At 38.4% G+C, this 19350-nt stretch overlaps 1 protein-coding gene across 3 annotated transcripts; it reads left to right on the top strand.

Annotated features, from left to right (window-relative positions):
* Positions 1–22: 22 nt before the first annotated feature.
* On the top strand, positions 23–18506 carry MFAP3 (microfibril associated protein 3). Of its 3 annotated transcripts, none has more exons than NM_001242336.2 (3): positions 23–364; positions 10613–11073; positions 13976–18506. In NM_001242336.2, exons 2-3 carry the CDS (start codon positions 10779–10781, stop codon positions 14767–14769), a joined length of 1089 nt encoding a protein of 362 aa, NP_001229265.1. In that variant the 5' UTR covers positions 23–364; positions 10613–10778; the 3' UTR covers positions 14770–18506. The 3 variants fall into 3 exon arrangements, with proteins under 3 accessions (NP_001229265.1, NP_005918.1, NP_001128509.1); NM_005927.5 differs by having other exon boundaries at positions 23–67; NM_001135037.2 differs by lacking the exon at positions 10613–11073 and having other exon boundaries at positions 23–67.
* The last annotated feature ends 844 nt before the right edge of the window (positions 18507–19350 follow it).

A 19350-nucleotide genomic window follows, 5' to 3' on the forward strand; every position in this document is an offset into this window, starting at 1 on the left:
CGGTGTGTCCGAGAAAACTTCCGAGTTAAGCCGCCGCTGAGGCCGGAAGGAGCTAGACGGCGGTCGGGTAGGTGACGGCTTGGTTGGGGTCGCTGCGAGGGGACTACTAGGAGCGCCGAGGCGTGAGTCGTAGCCTGTGGCTTGGGGTCGGGAGTGCAGGAGGCGAAAATGTTTGCCATTCTTTTGAAAGTCTGGCCTGGGTGTGGGAGTTCGGTCATCGAACACTTACTGAGAGCCAGATACCTGCCAGGCACTGCCCTGGGCTCCAGGGACACATCAGTCAACGAACGGAAGGGCCCTGCTCTCAAGCAGTGCGAAAAGCAGATTATAAACAAGTCAACAAACGGGATTATCTAAGGTGGTAGTAAGTGCTGTAAAGAAATTTAGACTGGATAATGTGATGGAACGAAGTGGGAGAGTAATAAGCCGTATGAAAATCTGGAATAGAGCATTCCAGGCAGAGAGAATAGCGCGTGCAAAGGCCATATAGTGGGAACAAACTTAGCAAAGTCAAGGAAAAGACAAAGGCCACTGGCTAGAGCAAAAGGAGCAAGGTGAGAATGGAGAGAGATGAGGCCAGGGACTTGAGCCCAAATCTTGTAAGGCTTATGAGCAAGGATAAAGAGTTTGATTTTTGTTTGGAATCCAGTGGAAAACCATTGAAGGTTTCTAAGCAGATGAATGACATGATCTGATTTATGACTCTAAGATTACTCCTGGGACCTCATCAGAAAGATGCAACTCTTCTGTTGCCCTCGAGCAGTGAAAATGCATGAAATCCAGACTGACAGAGCTAGTAAAATATTAAAATCAATCTTATTGTACAGATAAGAAAAACTGAATCCCAGAGAGGTGAAGGGACTTAGCCTTTAAGAACTCATGTTTTCCAACTCCATTTAATGCCCTCGGAATTATCATCTTAATTCCCAGATAAGAGTAATTGTCACTTCTAAAACTCTTCAGATATTTTCCTTTGCTTTTGACAGTGGTTCTCTAAATTTAGGTTCATCAATATCACCTGGAAGCTTGTTAAAATTCCAAAAAACAACAACAAAAAAACCCCTGCTTAAATATAAAATGGATCATTTCCTCTGATTTTCTGTTGTAATGGAAAATGCATAGAATTTGGGGCTAAAGTATGGAATCTTGGGAAGCCACTTATTTTTTAAATGCTGCTGATAATTATAGCAGCAGTTCTCAAACTTTTTGATCTTAGAATTTCTTTATACTTTTAAAATGTATTGAGAACTTCAAAGGGTTTTTGTTTATAATAGCTATCAATATTTACTATTTTAGAAAACAACTTTCAACAAAGGTTATTCATTTTAAAATAAACTCATTATATGTTAACATAGATAGCATTTCTGTAAAGGATATTTTCCAAAATGAAAAATTATTGAGAATGGCATTGTTTTACATTGTTACAAATCTCTTTAATGTCTGGCTGAATAAAAGACAGCTAGATTTTCGTAACTTCTACCTTCATTCTCTTACAATATCAATCATCATGTAACTTTTAGAAAATTGTGCCATATTGTGTGAGAATGTGAGTGAAAAAGGGATATGTCCTAATATTATGTAAATTGTTTTGAAACAGTGTCAGGGACACCCAGGAGTTCCTGCACCACACTTTTGAGAATTACACTGAATTACGGTGATTGTCATGCCAGTAAAAGAAATATGAGTTTGATTTGTAAATCAATAAACCTATATGCACATTAAAAATGCAGATGCCCAGGCATCCCCTAGAGATCCCAATTCAATAAGTCTGTGGGGTCAAGAAATCTGCATCTTTAACAAGCACCACAAATTAATTTGATATAAATGGTCTGAAAATTACAGAGTGAGAAAACCAGTCAAATGATTCTCTAGAGTGTTCTGCCTACTAAAACTCAAGATAGGTGTCTTTCTTATCTTCACCTCTCTCCATCAATAGTTTCCAGAGCCTGAAGCTCTGGAAAGTTAATAAGTTTGTAGCAGACACCTTTCACACTACCAAGTCGATGAGTGTCTGAACTCAAAATTTTGAGCACTTGCCACAGGCAGTGGCCCTGTGCTAAGGACAGAAGGTTTTTAGACTCTATCATTCATAAGCTTACAGTCTTTTGAACGGATAACTAACTGCTAAGAGGAAAACTGATAAGTCTTATAATGGCGTACTCTTAATGTGCTAGGGGACTGACAGAGCAAAAAAAAAAAAAACTCATCTGACAAGAGGGTGGGCATGAGAGGGTTTCCTGAATAAGATGAAATTAGAGTTGAATATTATAGAGAGGGTACAGTTTCCCCCAGAAAGATATTGACGGGAAGGGGCAGAAAGATTTTTAAGCAAAAGGAACAACTAGTAAGGTGAAAAGTTATTTAGAGAGAATAAAGTAAAACAAGCGTAGTTTAGGCTTTCAGCCATGGCAGGAAAGCTGGGTAGATTATAGGATTTAAGCAAAGAAACGAATGATAATGATAATCAGCCTCTAGGTGAGGAAACTAAAACCACTGGAGCACATCATAGCTAATTTGTGATAGAGGTAAAACTAAAGACCAGACTTAATGTTTAAATCCATTCATTCCTCCTGCAAGCAATTATCGTACATAGAGGCACCTCTGGGCTTCTCATGACTTTCTGTTCTGCTGCCTGAATCTATTCTTGGAGAATTACAATGCCAAATTGGAATTTTAAGCTTATCTCATGGGCAGTGAGAAATCACCAGTAGATTGTAAAATTACCCTGAATTGCTCAGATTTGTGTTTAGGACCAATTCTGAGTGTCACAGTGTTTGGATACATCATAGAGGTAAAAGGAGTTAAGGAGATCCATTCTGAAATTAAGGGGATAGTGTGGTATACCCAGGTGAGATAAAAGGATATGAGTTAGGACAGAGACAACAGGACTTAATTGAAAAATGTGTAGGAGGTGGAATAATAACAATAGCATATATTTATAATTTACCCACATTAGTTCATCTTATCCTCAAAACTACCCTATGATGCAGTTACTGTTAATATTATTTTATTTAATAAATGTGAAAACTAAGGCCTTGCAAGCCTATGGCTTCACCCAGGGGTAGGATCAGGCACCTTAACTCTAGAGCCCATTCTCCTAACCACTGAGCCATGATTGTCTTACAATTTTGATACTGCAAAACTGGAAGAATTGTCTGGCTATTATCTAAGCTGTTCATAAGCTGAACAAGTAGATCTGAGGGTAAGAGGAGTTCTGTTTTAACTAGACTGAGTTTCAAATAGAGATGTTTCAGACTATAGAGGGGGAAAAATGGCCTGGGAAGATCATAAATCTAAGCCTGTTTCATTGATGTTTTTGTCATTTGCATCCAGTAGCTATTCAGCAAATATACCTATGGCAAAAAGGATATAAGTTATGGGTATAACTGAAATAATCCTGGGTTTAAAGCAAAGCTCTGATAAATACAGACGATGTTTCTCCAGGTGCCAGAAGATATGTTGAAGTTTGAGCTCAGACTGACCAAATGCTAGTTATGGGGTATGTGATAGCTCCAAGGTAGTAATATAAAGGCTATTTTAATTAGAAACTTTTGAGTAAATGGCCCTCAGGATAGTGATTTCTGTTTGAATGTCACTAACCTTTTTTAGTTACAGATCCCTATAATAATGCTTGAGTCTAGGCAGAACAACTTTGTGTTTATTCTTTGCAAAGGGTAGGGTAGTGCTAACAACCTGCTCTTCATTTGCTTTTTCTCCCCTTTGCCGATTCAGAATGCTGCTTTGTCAATTTGTGTGCCTGCTGTAGGAACTGGTCCGTTTTCCAAGTGTGACAGTGCAGGCAGAGAAGGGTGGATGAGCTGTAAATGCAGCCTAGAACACATTTGATTATAGAGAATGAAGCACTAATATCCCAATATAATTGGAGTTTAAAAAAAAAAAATACCACCTGGGCATCAATGTGTTTCCCTGCTTTGCATTTTCCCAGAACTATTTCTGCAAACATCAGTTTCCTCAGCCAACTTAATATTGAGTCACCAGAACGGAAATCAGCCATATTACTTCCTTATTTGTGTTGAAAATTGGAACAGAATGGAAATATTTCTTCCCTCAGAAGTTGGCAGGAACGGCAACAAGACAATCTGTTAGGGGTGACAGCTATAGGCTCTTCTCTTTTTTAAAAATAATATAGTCAATATTCAACATGGTTTTCTGGGGTAAAATCATCCACATTTCTGATTCTTTATGATCCTAGCAAAGCTTACATTCTGTATACCTGAAAGATGAAAAAGGAGTTGGATTAAACTTGAGTCTTACACTTATCTATTACATTTTTATTTATTAATGCTGAAGAAAGGTAATATAGGCTGGGCGCGGTGGCTCACGCCTGTAATCCCAGCACTTTGGGAGGCCGAGGCAGCCAGATCACCTGAGGTTGGGAGTTCAAGATCAGCCTGTCCAACATGGAGAAACCCCGTCTCTACTAAAAATACAAAAAATTAGCCAGGCGTGGTGGTGCATGCCTGTAATCCCAGTTACTTGCGAGGCTGAGGTGGGAGAATCGCTTGAACCTGGGGGGTGGAGGTTGCAGTGAGCCGAGATCTCACCATTGCGCTCCAGCCTGGGCAACAAGAGCGAAACTCCGTCACACACACACACACACACAAAAAGGAAAGGTAATAAAAAATTTTATCAAGTAACTTCATCCACAAACATAGTATAGCCCTTTTTAACTGATAAGAAGAAGGTGACACTTTGGTTTTCCTTTTTGAAATCTGTTCTTGGGTTTCAAATGTCAGCTGCTACATTAAAAACAGCAGGCATAATATATATATATATATTTTTTTTTCCAAATACAAATGCACGTACTCTTGTGTCTCCCATGGCATCTAATATACCTGCCTTAATGACCTCAGCCCACTTAACTGATTTGGTGAACAATTCTGCATCTGAGGCTGTATATGTGAGGAAAAATTAAAGGATTGGAAATGAAAGTAAAATAACTATAGTATAAAGGATCATATGTTCAAAGCATGCAGGCCTAATATTATAGGAAGTCCCAAACATATAAGTGAATTGCATTCCTAGAACTGACACATTTGTCTTTTCTCTGTTGCATTCACAATATAATTACATTTCAGTCACATTGTCTTAGATACAGTTGGCTGTTTCTGGGCTGTCTTTCAAGCTGGTTTGTAAATTCCTGAGGGTCTAGGACAGTGTCCTAATTCTCCTTAGCAACTCTTGCACCACCTACTGTACTTCATCTTCCACGATGGATCCTTGACCTAGCTGAGCTGTAGTTTTAAAGTCATTAGTCTAGAATGAGCAGAATGGTCATAGTCAATGCAGTTTGTGCTGCAAGTAGCAGAAACCCATTCAAGCTGACTTAGCAAAAAGGAGACTTAGTGTGAGGAAATAATAGTACCCTGATACCAAGGATGATTTGTTCTTCCCTCACTATTTTTTTCTGCTTTGTCACCTTCTTGGACACGTATCTTTGCCAGTGTTTTCTCTCACAGCTGCTGAACAGCCTGTTACCTGCAAATGGGTTATATCCGTTAGTCTTTCAAATCAGAAGTCCTCTGTGTTCAGGATGTACATGGTATGAGTGAAGTGCCCAGTATTAACTGGATGTGTAAGGCTATTGTGCAGCCTCTTTCTCTTGTGGCTCAAAATCAGTGTGCCAGGTTTCTTCTGCCATGTTTGGCCTAAGAGCAGTTTAAGGGAGTTTATAGTGTTTTCCTAAATCCTGTCTGGTAGGTAGAGGCAAATGGCTATGTCTGTACAACACAAGAACCACAAATCTTGGCCACATGGGCAGTTTGCTTGCCACACTCCACTGTGTAAGGAAGAGACTAGAGATCTATGATGAAGATTGCCTGGCAGCCACAGACACAGTTCAATAACTTTTTGTGAACTTAATCTTTTTTCTCCTGCCTAACCATTTCCGCATTTATTACGTGTTTGCACATTCATCTTCACTTTTGTGGTTTTAATTTTGAGTAAAATTTAATAAAGTTGTTTCTTTTTTTAAAAAAAAAAAAGGGTCACAGGAGTGCCAGGAAGTAGAATTCTATCAGGCACCAAAGCACCATGTATGAGTCTCTCTTTGTCTTTCTCCTGCTCCTCTTCCTGTCTTCCCACTCTCTCCCTTCCCCATCCCTCTTGTCCTTTCTTACAGCTTCTCCTTGTATGTGGCCCAAACCTGACTGCCTCAGCCCCCACATGCCTCCTTTTCCTCAAATGACCCTGACCCACAAGGGTCTCAATTCCAAGTTCCAAGAACAAAGATTCTATTAGCTTACTTTGCCAATAGGTTGTCTTCCTCCTAGACCCAAGAAGATAGGGATAGGGCTCAAAGAGGGGAGCCGTTGGGTAAGTAGATCACGACAAATCTTCTCTACCACAAACTGAGGACACATACAATGTCATATCATGGTTGGGATCCAAGCTCAGTTTACAATGCCTATATGCTCCATAATATTGCAAAATATTTGCAATGAGAAAAAGAAAAATGTGAAATTTTAAATTTAAGATTAAAACTGCATAATGGTGTCCCCTTCCCCCCAACCCCCAAGATTTTTAAATGGTTGCATGGTATTCTGAGTGTTTTATAATGATGTAACTATCAAATGTAAATTTTAGTTCAATATCTGAAAGAACCATGAACAATAATAATAGAGCTTATTCAGTGATTACCATTGCCAGACTCTGTGTTTTATGTATACTACCTCATTCAGACTTTGCAATAATCCTGTGAGAATAGATTCTGTTATTTTGCCCATTTTAAAGATGAGGGGCTGAGGCAGGGAGATTAAGTCATTTATAAAAGTTGCAAGGCTGGTTAGAGTCACAGATCGTATTTGAATCCTATACTCTGAACCTCTCTGCTACCCTGCTCTTATTAGAGACCTTCAATTTTGCTGATCTAGAGTAATCTAAATCTAGAATGGAATGTGAGTGATTATATCTCTCATTGGAAATATTCAAATAGCCTGAAGCACCATTCTGCAGGTCAGTTGCAGAGGAAATTGAGGAACTGTATTAGTGGCCCTTAGATGCAGTACATGAATCCAATGCCTCAGAAACACCCAGGGAGCCAATTAAAAGTCATAAATTCCAAGGCGCAAACACAGAGTTTCTTACTCGTTCTGGGTTGGGACCTGGGAATCCATATTTTTAAAAAGCTCTCCTGACAGTTGTGATATTCAACCTGGTTTGGAAACTGCACTTGGTGATCTTTTATTCCTACCATTATCCTCTAGGACAACATGGTAAATGAAGGTATCAGGTTGGGAGTCGGAAGAATGCATTTAATTAGGTACTTTTAAGGTCTTCCAAGATTGTTAGCATTGACTGTTTTTGTTTCAGAGAATTTATAATAGGCAACTGTATGTCAGTTTGAACAATTATAATCCCTGTTGCATAACATTATTCAATTTATAAAGATCTGTCACATACTGAATCAAATTTAAACTAATCTCCATCAATATTTATTGAGCATGTGCTAGTTATGACGTACAGCAATAAAAAATATAGGCCTTGTTCTTAAGGGGTAGTTGAGATGGGATAGACTGCCTAGCAGTACAGAGCAGCATATACCAGCGCCAGATGAGTACGGTAGGTGGGGAGGGCTCTGGGGTGAAGGAGAAGCCATCCTTTATACAGCTATACTCTGAATTTATGTAGGAGGAATAGCTAAGGCCTTGATAGGAGGTTCAGGAAGTTTGCGGGAAGGCAGAATTCCATGTGGGAGTTATGCTTTGCCAAGCCTTGTGTTGGTGAGGACACTCATTGCCCTGCAGCCCTCGCCTGTGACAGCTGTTCATTCTGCTGAAGTTCCTGAATCTCAGAGCAGGAAGACCGAATCCATTTCCTTTCTTTCCAGTTTCTTCTACACTAGCTACTTTGATCCTGGGGGGATGTGACCATACCCCCAGGTGATCTGCCCACGTTTGAGCCTCTCAGTTGTTTGACGTCTTCATCATGGACGAATATCTCCCTCACTCACTTCAGCCACTGCAGCTTCCGGAGTCTATCTCCAGTTTCACCATTGGCCCAGTTAGTTCTCCTCCAGAATCAGGAATCAGACGCAGCATTTTTGGCCACTGCCTGTCTTTACCACAATTTTTTAGCTGTTTTTTGTGAACAACTCCTGACCAGTGACCCCTCTCATTTTTCCCTGTCTCCTGGCCCTCTACCTTGAGTGCTTTCCTCCCAATTTTTATTCCTCTTTATTCTTCAGGTCCTGCACCTGAAGAATAGGTGCTGCACACCTCTTTTTCTCAGAGGCTTTCCATGATGAGATTAACTCCCCATGTTGGGTCCTCCTGTAGCATCTGTATTTTCCCTTGGGTAACATTGAGTTTATTTTGTATATATGTAGTTAGTGTCCATCATCTGCCAGACTGAACTTCGTGGAGGCCGAGACAATGTCTATGGGGCAGTAGGTAGGCACATGGTAGGTGCTCAATAGATACTGTTCAGTATATGAAAATGTATCCCTCCGATCTCAAACTCAGTGGTGGGGAAGAGTAGAAAGGAAGGAGATGGCAGGTTAAGAAATGAGGTGGCATTAAAATAAACTGGAGTTGTGGGGGGCTTTTTGTTTTGGTTTTGGTTTTACTACAGAGAGAGCAAGCCTCCAGCTCAAAGCCTTTCAGCAGGCAGTAGTATCTCTGGAAGCTAATAACACTTCTTTGTTTTCATTATGTTTATGTGTACGGTTACATTTGTCCACAGAACTGATGTAGAGTTTCCTTTTTAAATAAATGTGAAAGTAAAAATAAAATGAGTTGATTTAAAAGAAAAGCAGAAATGACGATAATTTGGTTCATGGATATAGTAAAAACAACAACAACAAAAAAGACAGGAGAAGGAATGAATGAAGTTTGGGAAGTGCTGCCCTGGATGAAGCTATAGGAACTCCTAATCAAAGTTCTGGAGAAAGCCTGGAGCATTTTTTCAGCACACTCATAGCCTGTCACCGTTGAGAACCACTAATCTAGAATAAAGTACAAAATTATGTCCTCCAATTGCTGTATATCTTGCAGTGAAAAAGAGCTTGGAAACTTACATGTCAAGCCCCTAGCACAGTGCTTGGCTGATGGCAGTCATTCAATAAATGTTATTTCCATTGTTTCTACCCATCACCCCCTCTTAAAAAAGAGACTGTATTCCAAACTAGATTCTCCTACTAACTTGTAGCATGTCGTAAGAAGCAAATCACTGTGCACTGAATCAATTAGATTATATTACTTCCAAAATCCCCTCTCTGCCTAAGTCTTTGTTTCCTTTAGTGTCCTTTTTGTGCGGTTTTAGGAGGAAATGGAAATAAACACGTTTAGTGTGTCATGTATTGCCAAAGTCTGAAGGTTTTTTATTTTACTCTGTATACCCCATCCTTAAATTGTAAAGATTTAGAAAAGTATTTGTCACCATTCAACCATCCTTTCAAGGGTTAATTAATGAAAATTAAATGACATTTGCACCGTATTGTAATTTAGACTTTGAGATATTTAATGGCAAAATACAGTGATTCATTGTTTTTTATGTTCTGTGATCAAGCAGCCTTCATATAAATATAAAGGAGAGTAAATGTCATTTCCAAAACTAATTATCTTGGTGCTTTATAAGACATAAAGCTAGGCATTTCATCCCATATTTTATAGAAATAAAAGTTGAATTTTTTCTTTGAGAGTTGGTGGCTTAAAGGGGGAGTCAAATTACCAGGAAGGTGATCATAAATACATAGACTTTTGGACTAGGATGTTATTTTGCCTTTTATTCAAGATATTTTGCTCTTCTTTTAAATGTGTCTAACAATCTGTCCCTGTAGTTTTATATTTGCATTTCTACTAACTAGACACTTAAGATGTCAGTTCCTCCCTTAGCTAGTTTACAGAGTTTGAGCTAGAAATTTGGTATGCTTACAAACTATTAAATACACTGTACTTTGTCTCTTCGTATTGGAGAAACTATTAAAAGAAAATTCTGTTGTCTAATGTTCTTGCCCATGAAGGAGGTTCCATAGCTTTAGAAGTCAATAACTCTATTTATGTGTATGCAGTAAGTGCAGCTTTCTTTCCAGTGTTAAAACAACCCACCTCAGGTGTCCCTGCATTATTTATATGTAACATATCTTCATACTTGAATTACTCAAATTTTGAGCTCCATGGTTATGATTATGATATGCCAGTTGATTTACATTATAACAACAGATGGTAATGGTGCAGGTTGAAATAAAAGATCATTAAGATAAATATTTTAGCCTTCATTGGCTCCCTGTTGCATAAAATTTGTCAGAATGAAATAGAATCATGGCATTTCAGAATTGGAAGAGTCCTTAGAGATTATCTCATCCAGTCCCTTATTTGACAGAGGAGAAAACAGAAACCCAGAGAGAATGCTGCTTGCCAAGGTCGTACAGCTAGTTAGTGGCAAAGCTAGGACCAAAATCTAGGTCTGCTATTTACCAATTCATTGCTTTTTCTGCTGTCTCTGTGTGAGATTTTTAGGTACTGTTCCATCTAATTACTCCCCAATGTCAGCACCAATTATTCTAATTAACATCTATTCATTCTGGAACATACGCACTTTCACCCCATTATGAATCTCAGTTGGTTAAACTTTGTATCTGGCTTTCTTTTAGGTTCTCTACTCACATCTTTTAATCTTGAAGACTAGAAAATATAACTGGATCTACCACTTGTTTGGAAAATTTCTCTACCAAGCAATAAATTACCCGCTGTGCTTTTGTTGTAGTGTAGAAGTTTTTGAGTTCTCCAAATCTAAACAAGATTTTGTCCCATTTTCCCATGAAGCTACATTGTTGCTTATTCACTTTAGTGGCAAGTATTATTGTGCCAGCTGCTTTTGTTTTGGAAGATGTGGACTTCGACCAAATGGTTTCACTGGAAGCAAATCGTAGTTCTTACAATGCATCCTTTCCCTCAAGCTTTGAACTCTCAGCAAGTTCCCACTCGGATGATGATGTCATCATAGCCAAAGAGGGAACTAGCGTTTCAATTGAGTGTCTTCTCACAGCCAGTCACTATGAAGATGTCCATTGGCACAATTCAAAAGGACAGCAACTGGATGGCAGAAGCAGAGGTAATTGGTCAGGGTATAATTAATCAAGGTTACTCATTTCCTGTTCTGTCTTCTTATTTTTTAACACGTTAAACAAAAAGTCTCAAAGATAAGGTGCCAAGGTGAATAGTTTAAAACATTTGAAAGGTCTGGAGTGTTGTACCTATCAGAAAATGCAAAGTAATTATAATTGTTTAACCAGAAGAAGAAAAAAAAGAATCATTCTAAATTTAAAAGATGTTCACATGATGACAATGAGCTATTTTCTCTCCTGATCAGTTGGTTTTCTTCTTCATTGAAGGTAGAGTAAATCAGGGCTGCTGCATACAGCTGTACAGGTGGTATACAACACAACTCTGGGAGCACCCTTCACCTAGACTACTATGTCAGTAGTACAGTGTGGTGGCCCTGTGTGAATACATCCAGAAGGTTTTTGGCTAGACTTAAGAAAATTTGTTATAAATAAAAAAGTTTTGCTCTGAAATTAGTTACTATAAACTTTAGAGGAAATCCAGGACATTTTTGAAAATGAGTATCAATCTGTGCATAAAACTTTGACGTCAGGTCTCAGAGAATTAGAAGGGCACTATGGAACTTGTAAGCCCTTCCAGCTCTTTTTTTTTTTTTTTTTTTTTTGTATTCTATACCTTAATTTACTGGAAATGAGAAATTTTTTTTTGCATTTTTTGTTTATGTCTTAAAAATCACATAAACATAGTGTGTTCAAGGTCTACTTTTTGACAGATTTTTATTTAATTTTCCTATTCATGGATCTGTGAATATATCTTAATCCAGACTACTCCTAACCAGTGTTCTGTTATAAAGATCTTTTTGATGAGTACTTGAGTTATAATGGACCTCAAAAAGAAATCACCATGAAAAGCCAAAGGGATGAAGCTTAAATTCTAAGATCCTCACAAGCTACACTTTCAGAAATTTTTTTGTTAGGAAGATAGTGTAGCCTTCTGAAATAGAAAAGGATATTGGTTATTCATATTAGGCTGGAAAACACAAAAGGAGACAGGTGATACTTCCTTCAGACATATGCACTATTTTAATCTATAGACTGAGTGACTAGTCACCAAGGGATTGAAGAGTTTGAATTGTTAGGGTATTTTTAATCAGCATGTTTAAAATACATAACTATTGAATTAGAGTGATACCTGGAATGTGTACTTTGAACATGATTTGGGGTTCCATATTTGAACCCACTGAACCAGACTCCTATCTTCTCTGGGCTCTACGATATCCTGACCAAACACCTCTGAGATCTGAATTATTCATTCAGTGTCATCACTGTAGACTGACTGCATAAACAAAGCCTTAGGTTAAAACAAGACCAGCCAAGTGGAATGGCAGTTTTATTTTTCTATTTTGCCTTTACTTTGAAAACCACTAACATCTATCATTGATGCTTTCAGCAGCAGCTCTGGAAAATTGTATTAAATTTTATGAATCTCAAGTGAGAGGAGTTTAAAGAGCATGTCAGTCTAGTATAAGGTTCATAAATCTTGAGCTATTATCAGCAAGTGAGCTAGAGAGTTTAGATTGTGGTTGTAGTGCAATGGTTGATGAATGGAGTCTTTGTAGTTCATCATACCTTGGATTCAAGTGGTGTCGTTTTCATAGCTCTAAGTTCATAGAACAGAAGCTTATGGAAAATGGCTATATTCATAACTACATGTTTTCCTCTTTTTGTATTAGTGAAGTGATGGCTTTTAAATATATTAATACCTATAGGATTGAGATAAGTTTGGATGATGATGAAAATGGACAAAATCCAGAGTGCTTACTAATTTATGTGCCACTAAAATAATCCAGAACCATAGAATCTTGGGGATGAAAGAGATTTTGAAGATTGGGCACTCAAGTAATGCTTAACAAGCAGTCCGCTAACCTCCTCTGGGACACCTCCTCTAGTCATTGGAATGCATCCCCACACTGCAGGTTAGCCCATCCTTCCCATCTCTGAATGGCTTTCATAGTTAAAGCACAGAGTGCTTTGGGAATGTATCACAAAAGTAGGAATTATGCAGTCAGAGCCAAGTTATTGAAGGATGTGAATCAAGATGCGTAGTCAATATGCTTTGCTTTTCTTACACTTGTATACTTCTATATACGTGTTCCCTGAATGAAAATACCTTCACGTGTGGAAGAGAGGCAGTATGTTTTAGGTTGAAAATGGAAGCATAGGCATCTTAAGGGCAACTTTATTCTTTTTGCCAAGCTTTTCATTTACCATGACTTGTGAGATGTATTTTTTGGCCTGTGCTTCAGTTACTCTTGCCAGAAAATCAACAAAAGTTTCTTAACAACAACAACAAAAAATTGATATGTGCAAGGCATACCAGATTAGGCAGTTACTTCAACAAATGCATTAAATTGCTAGGATTTTTTAAAATAATTTCTTCTTGTTATATAATTTCACTATGGAAAGTGAGCAAACACAGTTAGAAGAAAATAAAAATTACTCATAAAAATTTAAAATACTGTTATTTTAAACCATTGTTTTATATTTCTGAGACATACCCTCATAGTATATGAAAATGTATTGGTTGCAATGTGATGTAGACGGACACATATGTATAAACTATAAGCTTTTTTTATGATTAGTCATTTAGCATTTTATAGACATACCTGTTTCACAGAAAGGCTTTTGAAGTCTAGCAGTGAAAAGGAAGCTATGTTAATTATTAGTGTCATGAAGGAAGATCTTGATTTCCTTTTAAGATCCAAGCTAATTAAATTCTGACTCTGGACCTCACAGTCTGCCCTTTTTTTACATGATTTAAACAAATGGTAGAATCTAACAAATCAGCTAAGTTAAAGTACTTTGATAAAGAGGTGGAATATGGATAAGGCAGCGGGCATATTTAGTAATCTTTTTGCTATAATTTTTTTTTCATTTCTGTTCAATTATCAGGTGGAAAGTGGTTGGTTTCTGATAACTTCCTAAACATCACCAATGTAGCTTTTGATGACCGTGGGCTCTATACCTGTTTCGTCACCTCTCCAATTCGTGCCTCCTACTCTGTCACCCTACGTGTTATCTTCACCTCGGGAGACATGAGTGTCTATTACATGATTGTTTGCCTGATTGCCTTTACAATCACACTCATCTTGAATGTCACACGGCTGTGCATGATGAGCAGCCATCTTCGCAAGACTGAGAAGGCTATCAATGAGTTCTTTAGAACTGAAGGGGCTGAGAAACTTCAGAAGGCCTTTGAGATTGCAAAACGTATCCCCATCATTACCTCAGCCAAAACTCTGGAGCTCGCCAAAGTCACACAATTTAAGACCATGGAGTTTGCTCGTTATATTGAAGAACTGGCAAGAAGTGTCCCTCTTCCACCTCTTATTCTAAACTGTCGAGCCTTTGTTGAGGAGATGTTTGAGGCTGTGCGAGTGGACGACCCTGATGACCTGGGTGAAAGAATTAAAGAGAGACCTGCCTTGAATGCTCAAGGTGGCATCTATGTCATTAACCCAGAGATGGGACGGAGTAATTCACCAGGAGGAGATTCAGATGATGGCTCTCTGAATGAACAAGGCCAGGAAATAGCAGTTCAGGTTTCTGTCCACCTTCAGTCAGAAACCAAAAGTATTGATACAGAGTCTCAAGGCAGCAGTCATTTCAGTCCACCTGATGATATAGGATCTGCAGAATCTAACTGTAACTACAAAGATGGGGCATATGAAAACTGTCAGCTGTAACCTACAATGCTGTAACCCAGTACCTACAAAATCAGCTCGCTCTCAGAAAAGGAACCTGTTTCTTAGAAGAAGTAACATTTTTGCCAAAAGATGACTGGGGTTTTCCGTTTGTTAATATTAAGCACATCAGAACGTGAATTGCCAAAGTCTTCATTAGAAGGCAGCATTTTTCCTCTCTGATACTTTTCAGTCATTTTCCTTAGAGCTTTATTAAATTATGCATGCTAAGATTTAAAGGAGCCCCAGATAAACATGATGGGGAAAAGCACTGAACTAAGAGTCCCATGGTTTCTCTTCTGGTCACAGTTCTTCCATTGGTTGGATCTGATACTTATCTTGGGACTTCAGTTTTTCCGTCAATAAGATGAGGGATTAGGTGAGATCTGAAGTTGTTTCTAGCTCTATAGCTTCTTAACCCATCACCTTTAAATTACCAGAATCTTCACTCATCTCTAAGTAAACCTTTCCCGGGACTTTTACTCGCTTCTTTTGGAAAGGATTAAGCTGAGATCTAAATTTCCACACCAATGTCATAATGCACAGAGGTTTTTGAAAAACATCTGAGTGTTTTTCAGATGTTTTGCCATGTGGAGCATATAATGATATGTGCAAGATTGAATCTTTTCAATGTAGCACATGTCTGTAGGGTTATACAGATGTCAGAGAGCTAACTGCTCTGTAAACTACTTTCCATGAGTAAATTGGTCCTTGGTGGGGGTGTATCATATTTTTAACTTACTGAGATATCATTTTAGTTCATTGAGGTTGGCAGGGATTGCCTAACTGATCTTCCAAAGTGAGCAGTTTATTTCTAAGGTATAACGTCTTTGATGCTTTTAGAATAAGAACAGTGTCAAATCATCTGTCTTCTGGAAAATCATGGATTTTCATATTTCTGTTAACAGAATTTCTCAGGCTTTCCCTTTTTAAAAGTATTGGACTCTACAAATAGGTTCTATATTTGGGATCTCATCCTAGGAGAAAACCCAAAACTGGATTCCTCTTAAGACCTCTGTCAACCCTCCTGCCCTTTGTGGTCTTAGGTATGGTGCTATAGGTTGCATGCGTCTTTATCTTGTTTGTTTGGTTAATATTTTGTTGTTGAGGTTTTTATTTTTGTTTACTTCAGATACATAATTCTGAGCTATGGCTGCTTTTGTAGCCTTTCCAAGAAGCACTAACCTGAAATAAGATTAGATAATTGTGAGGGTGTGTTACTATATTAAAATACACACACAACTGATCTAGACATCAAGAGGAAGAAAAATGATGGATGATGCCACCTGCTTCAACTGTATATAATAAACACTTATGATGACATTTCTTGCCTGGCTGAGATCTGATATAATGGAATTGTAAATACTCTTCAGAACAATTTCTTCAGCTACAGGAAGCGTGGTGCCATATAATTTTAAGAACTTGGCAGTGGAGCTCCATTTGGGGCTTCACGTTTCTTCATATGACTTCTGATTATTGAAGCATTACTTCAGCTAGAGGCTCCTGAGGGAAATGTTCAGAGGAGGTTTTATCAGGATTTTAATTTAAGGTTTCAAACAGGGGAAGACAGGAAATTCAAAGCGTGACGGGATAAAACTCATGCCTCCCTTTGTCCAGGCTTATCAGAAGTAATACATCTGCTCTGAATAGCATGAATGAATCAATGTGCAGTTTTATCAGATGGCATCATGGATAAAGATGATAATGCTGCCTTTTCTGTCTCTCAGGCTGTTTCCATGGAAACCTCTAGAGCCAAATAAAAGCTAACCAATCATTTAGCCAAAGCTTGCCTTGGCTCATAGACTGGTATTTCTTTAAGGAAAATTGTTTTTATATATTTGACTATAAGAGCAAAGGCTCTTGAACATATCCTAGATTATGGAACACTTTTTCCCTTCCCTTTTCTCTGGAAAAATTAAATTTTTTTTCTGTCCACTGAGACTGGAGTGCAGTGGCAAGATCATAGCTCACTGCAGCCTCCAACTCCTGGGGTCAAGCGATCGTCCTGCTTCAGCCTCCCAAGCAGCTAGGACTACAGGTGTGCACCACCTTTCCTGGCTAATTTTTTTTTATTTTTTGTAGAGATGGGGGTCTCACTTTGTTGCCCAGGCTGACCTTGTACTTGTGGCTTCAAATGATCCTCCTGCCTTACCTCCCAAAGTGTTGAGATTACAGGCATGAGCCACTGTGCCTGGCCAAAAAACATTTTAAATCCCTTGTCTGGGGGTCAGTCCTCTAAACATCCCTCAGATTTCAGATAGTACTTTCAACCCTGTCCTAACATAGCAGGTTTGCAGTAATCTTTTAGAATATAGCTTGTCAAATTAGAGAATGGTTTTACCCCACATGTTCTCATAGGAGACATTATTATTTAGAACCCTAAGGTAGACATGTTTAAAATCAAAGTCCTAAGAAACAGAACTTTGGAAAAATGGAGGAAATGTTTTTAAAGTCTGTAAGTTTGCACGATACTGTATAGTAACTAAATGCATGCTACTCCGTTGTATCCTAGTTATTTTAGAAACAGAGGTGGCCTAATTTGGTGGCCAAAGTAACTGGTTTACTTTGAGTGTACCAGCTTATGGTGCCATTGATGAGGAATTAAAGTAGGTCAAAATTTAATTGGAGTTGGTATTACTTCGTAAAGCTAGTTTTCAAGAGGAAGAAAACCACACTTACTAATGTTTTCTGTATCTAATCAAATACTCTTCATATATAATTAAGCCTCATGTTATCTTTTTTTTAAATCAACCTTTTGAACTTCAACTACAGTCTAAAAGTCTTGATGGTAACTATAGTGTAATTATCTTTTTGTCTCACTGGATTTTATAGTTAGTGGAAAATGCCTTTACAAAATGTATTTAAAATAGCTGTCATCTCATTTGTAAATTTTGTCGTGTATTGTGATATAGTGAACCTTATTGTCCTTATGAAATGGTAGCTTTGTGAAATACATTCACCAAAAATCAAAATTTGAACATCTTTATGATTCCTTACCAGCTGAAGCCAGATAGACAGGTATTAATTGAGCTGATGCCCCACTTGAGTTTATAGACTGTTTGATAACTGCCTGTCCTCCAAATTGTGTATGTATATGTTACGATGGTTTAATTCTTGAGTCAGGGCCAGCACGCATTTATATTTTCTACCAATTACCTTGATAGAAATATCTTAGAAATTGCTGACCTGGAACGGTTGTGAGAAGACTCCTGGCTTCTTTCTTGCCTCACTTAACAAATATTTTAAGGTCAAAGCAATATCTGTGCACGGCTTTCCTTTTGCTCCTCCAGACAAGTGAGGCTGTTGGTATAGTCCTCTTCACCCTCTGCATGTAGCTTCACCCTAGATCAGACTTTTGTCTCTTGGGTCCCAGATGGCACAGGAGCACTGCATGCTTGTTTTCTAGAGCCCAGCCAGTCATGGGTGCTAGCCTAGTCTCCACACACCAGCAAGTAGAACCCAAGTGTATTGTATAAATATTTCCTGAGTACCAGTAAGAGAATGCATTCTTTTCTCATCTAGGCCAGGAATGTTGAAAATGCTCAGCCTTACATAGAAACTCCTAGATTTTCACTAACGCATTTCACAAAAGTAAATAAGTATTTCATATAATTCAGAGGATGTTTAAATTGTCAGCATTTTAATAAATACTTGCATTATAATTTTGTCTCTTTTTTAAAGAAAGTCATACTTGAATATAATTTATTAAACGTTCAATGGAGTATATAGTCTATTTGAAATTTTCTATAGTGTATGTTTCATTTGTATGTTTGACGAAATTTGTATGTTTGATGGAACTTGACGTTAATGATTTTAAATGGGTAATTTTTTGGGGAGAGGGTAGTCTCACTCTGTCGCCCAGGCCAGAGTATGATGGCATGATCATGGCTCACTGCAGTCTCAACCTGGGCTCAGCAGTTCTGCCTCAGCCTCCTGAGTAGCTAGGATTATAGGTGCACGCTAACGCACGTGGCTAATTTTATGTGTGTGTGTGTGTGTAGAGATGGGTCTCGTTATGTTGCCCAGACTGGTTTCTATCTCCTGATCTCAAGTAATCCTCCTGCCTGGACCTCCCGAAATGCTGGGATTACAATCATGAGCCACAGCCCCCAGCATAGGAGTAAATTTGAATTCAACTTGGATTCTAGTGTGGCTGGAATCCACTTTAACTTTACAAATATTTACACCTAAGCACTGTGTATGTTTTCAGTGCTATGAGCTACACTGAGATGGGTATCCTGCCCACAACGGGCCTGCAGATACCAGACTATCCTCCCTGGGCCCAAATACAGCAGTTTACTCTTCTGAAGTAAAGCATTTTTGGCAAAGGCAAGAGCTTGAGAAAAAGAGATGAGAAGATTTGGTACATTTTTAAAGAGCTTGTGATTATAGTGTGTAGTTTATGGTGAGATTTGGCGGGCAGGAGGTTTAGCTCTGGTAGAAGCAAAAGTCTGCAGTCCCATCAGGGTGAAGAGTGGTGATGGTTAACAGGCATGGAAAAGCACAAGGTGTTAGGAGAACGCAAAGGCAACAGATGGGAGGTGTGACTCATTACTTAAATGCCACAGACTCCTTAGAATGAAA

The sequence above is a fragment of the Homo sapiens genome, chromosome 5 (assembly GCF_000001405.40).
Source record: "Homo sapiens chromosome 5, GRCh38.p14 Primary Assembly".
Taxonomy (NCBI): Eukaryota; Metazoa; Chordata; class Mammalia; order Primates; family Hominidae; genus Homo; species Homo sapiens.

Excerpts from the sequence above, each read along its gene's own strand:
- MFAP3 (NM_001242336.2), top strand. The coding sequence starts at position 10,779 with ATGAAGCTACATTGTTGCTTATTCACTTTAGTGGCAAGTATTATTGTG. Across the intron at positions 11,074-13,975 it reads ACTGGATGGCAGAAGCAGAG|GTGGAAAGTGGTTGGTTTCT; the intron begins GTAATTGGTCAG and ends TTCAATTATCAG.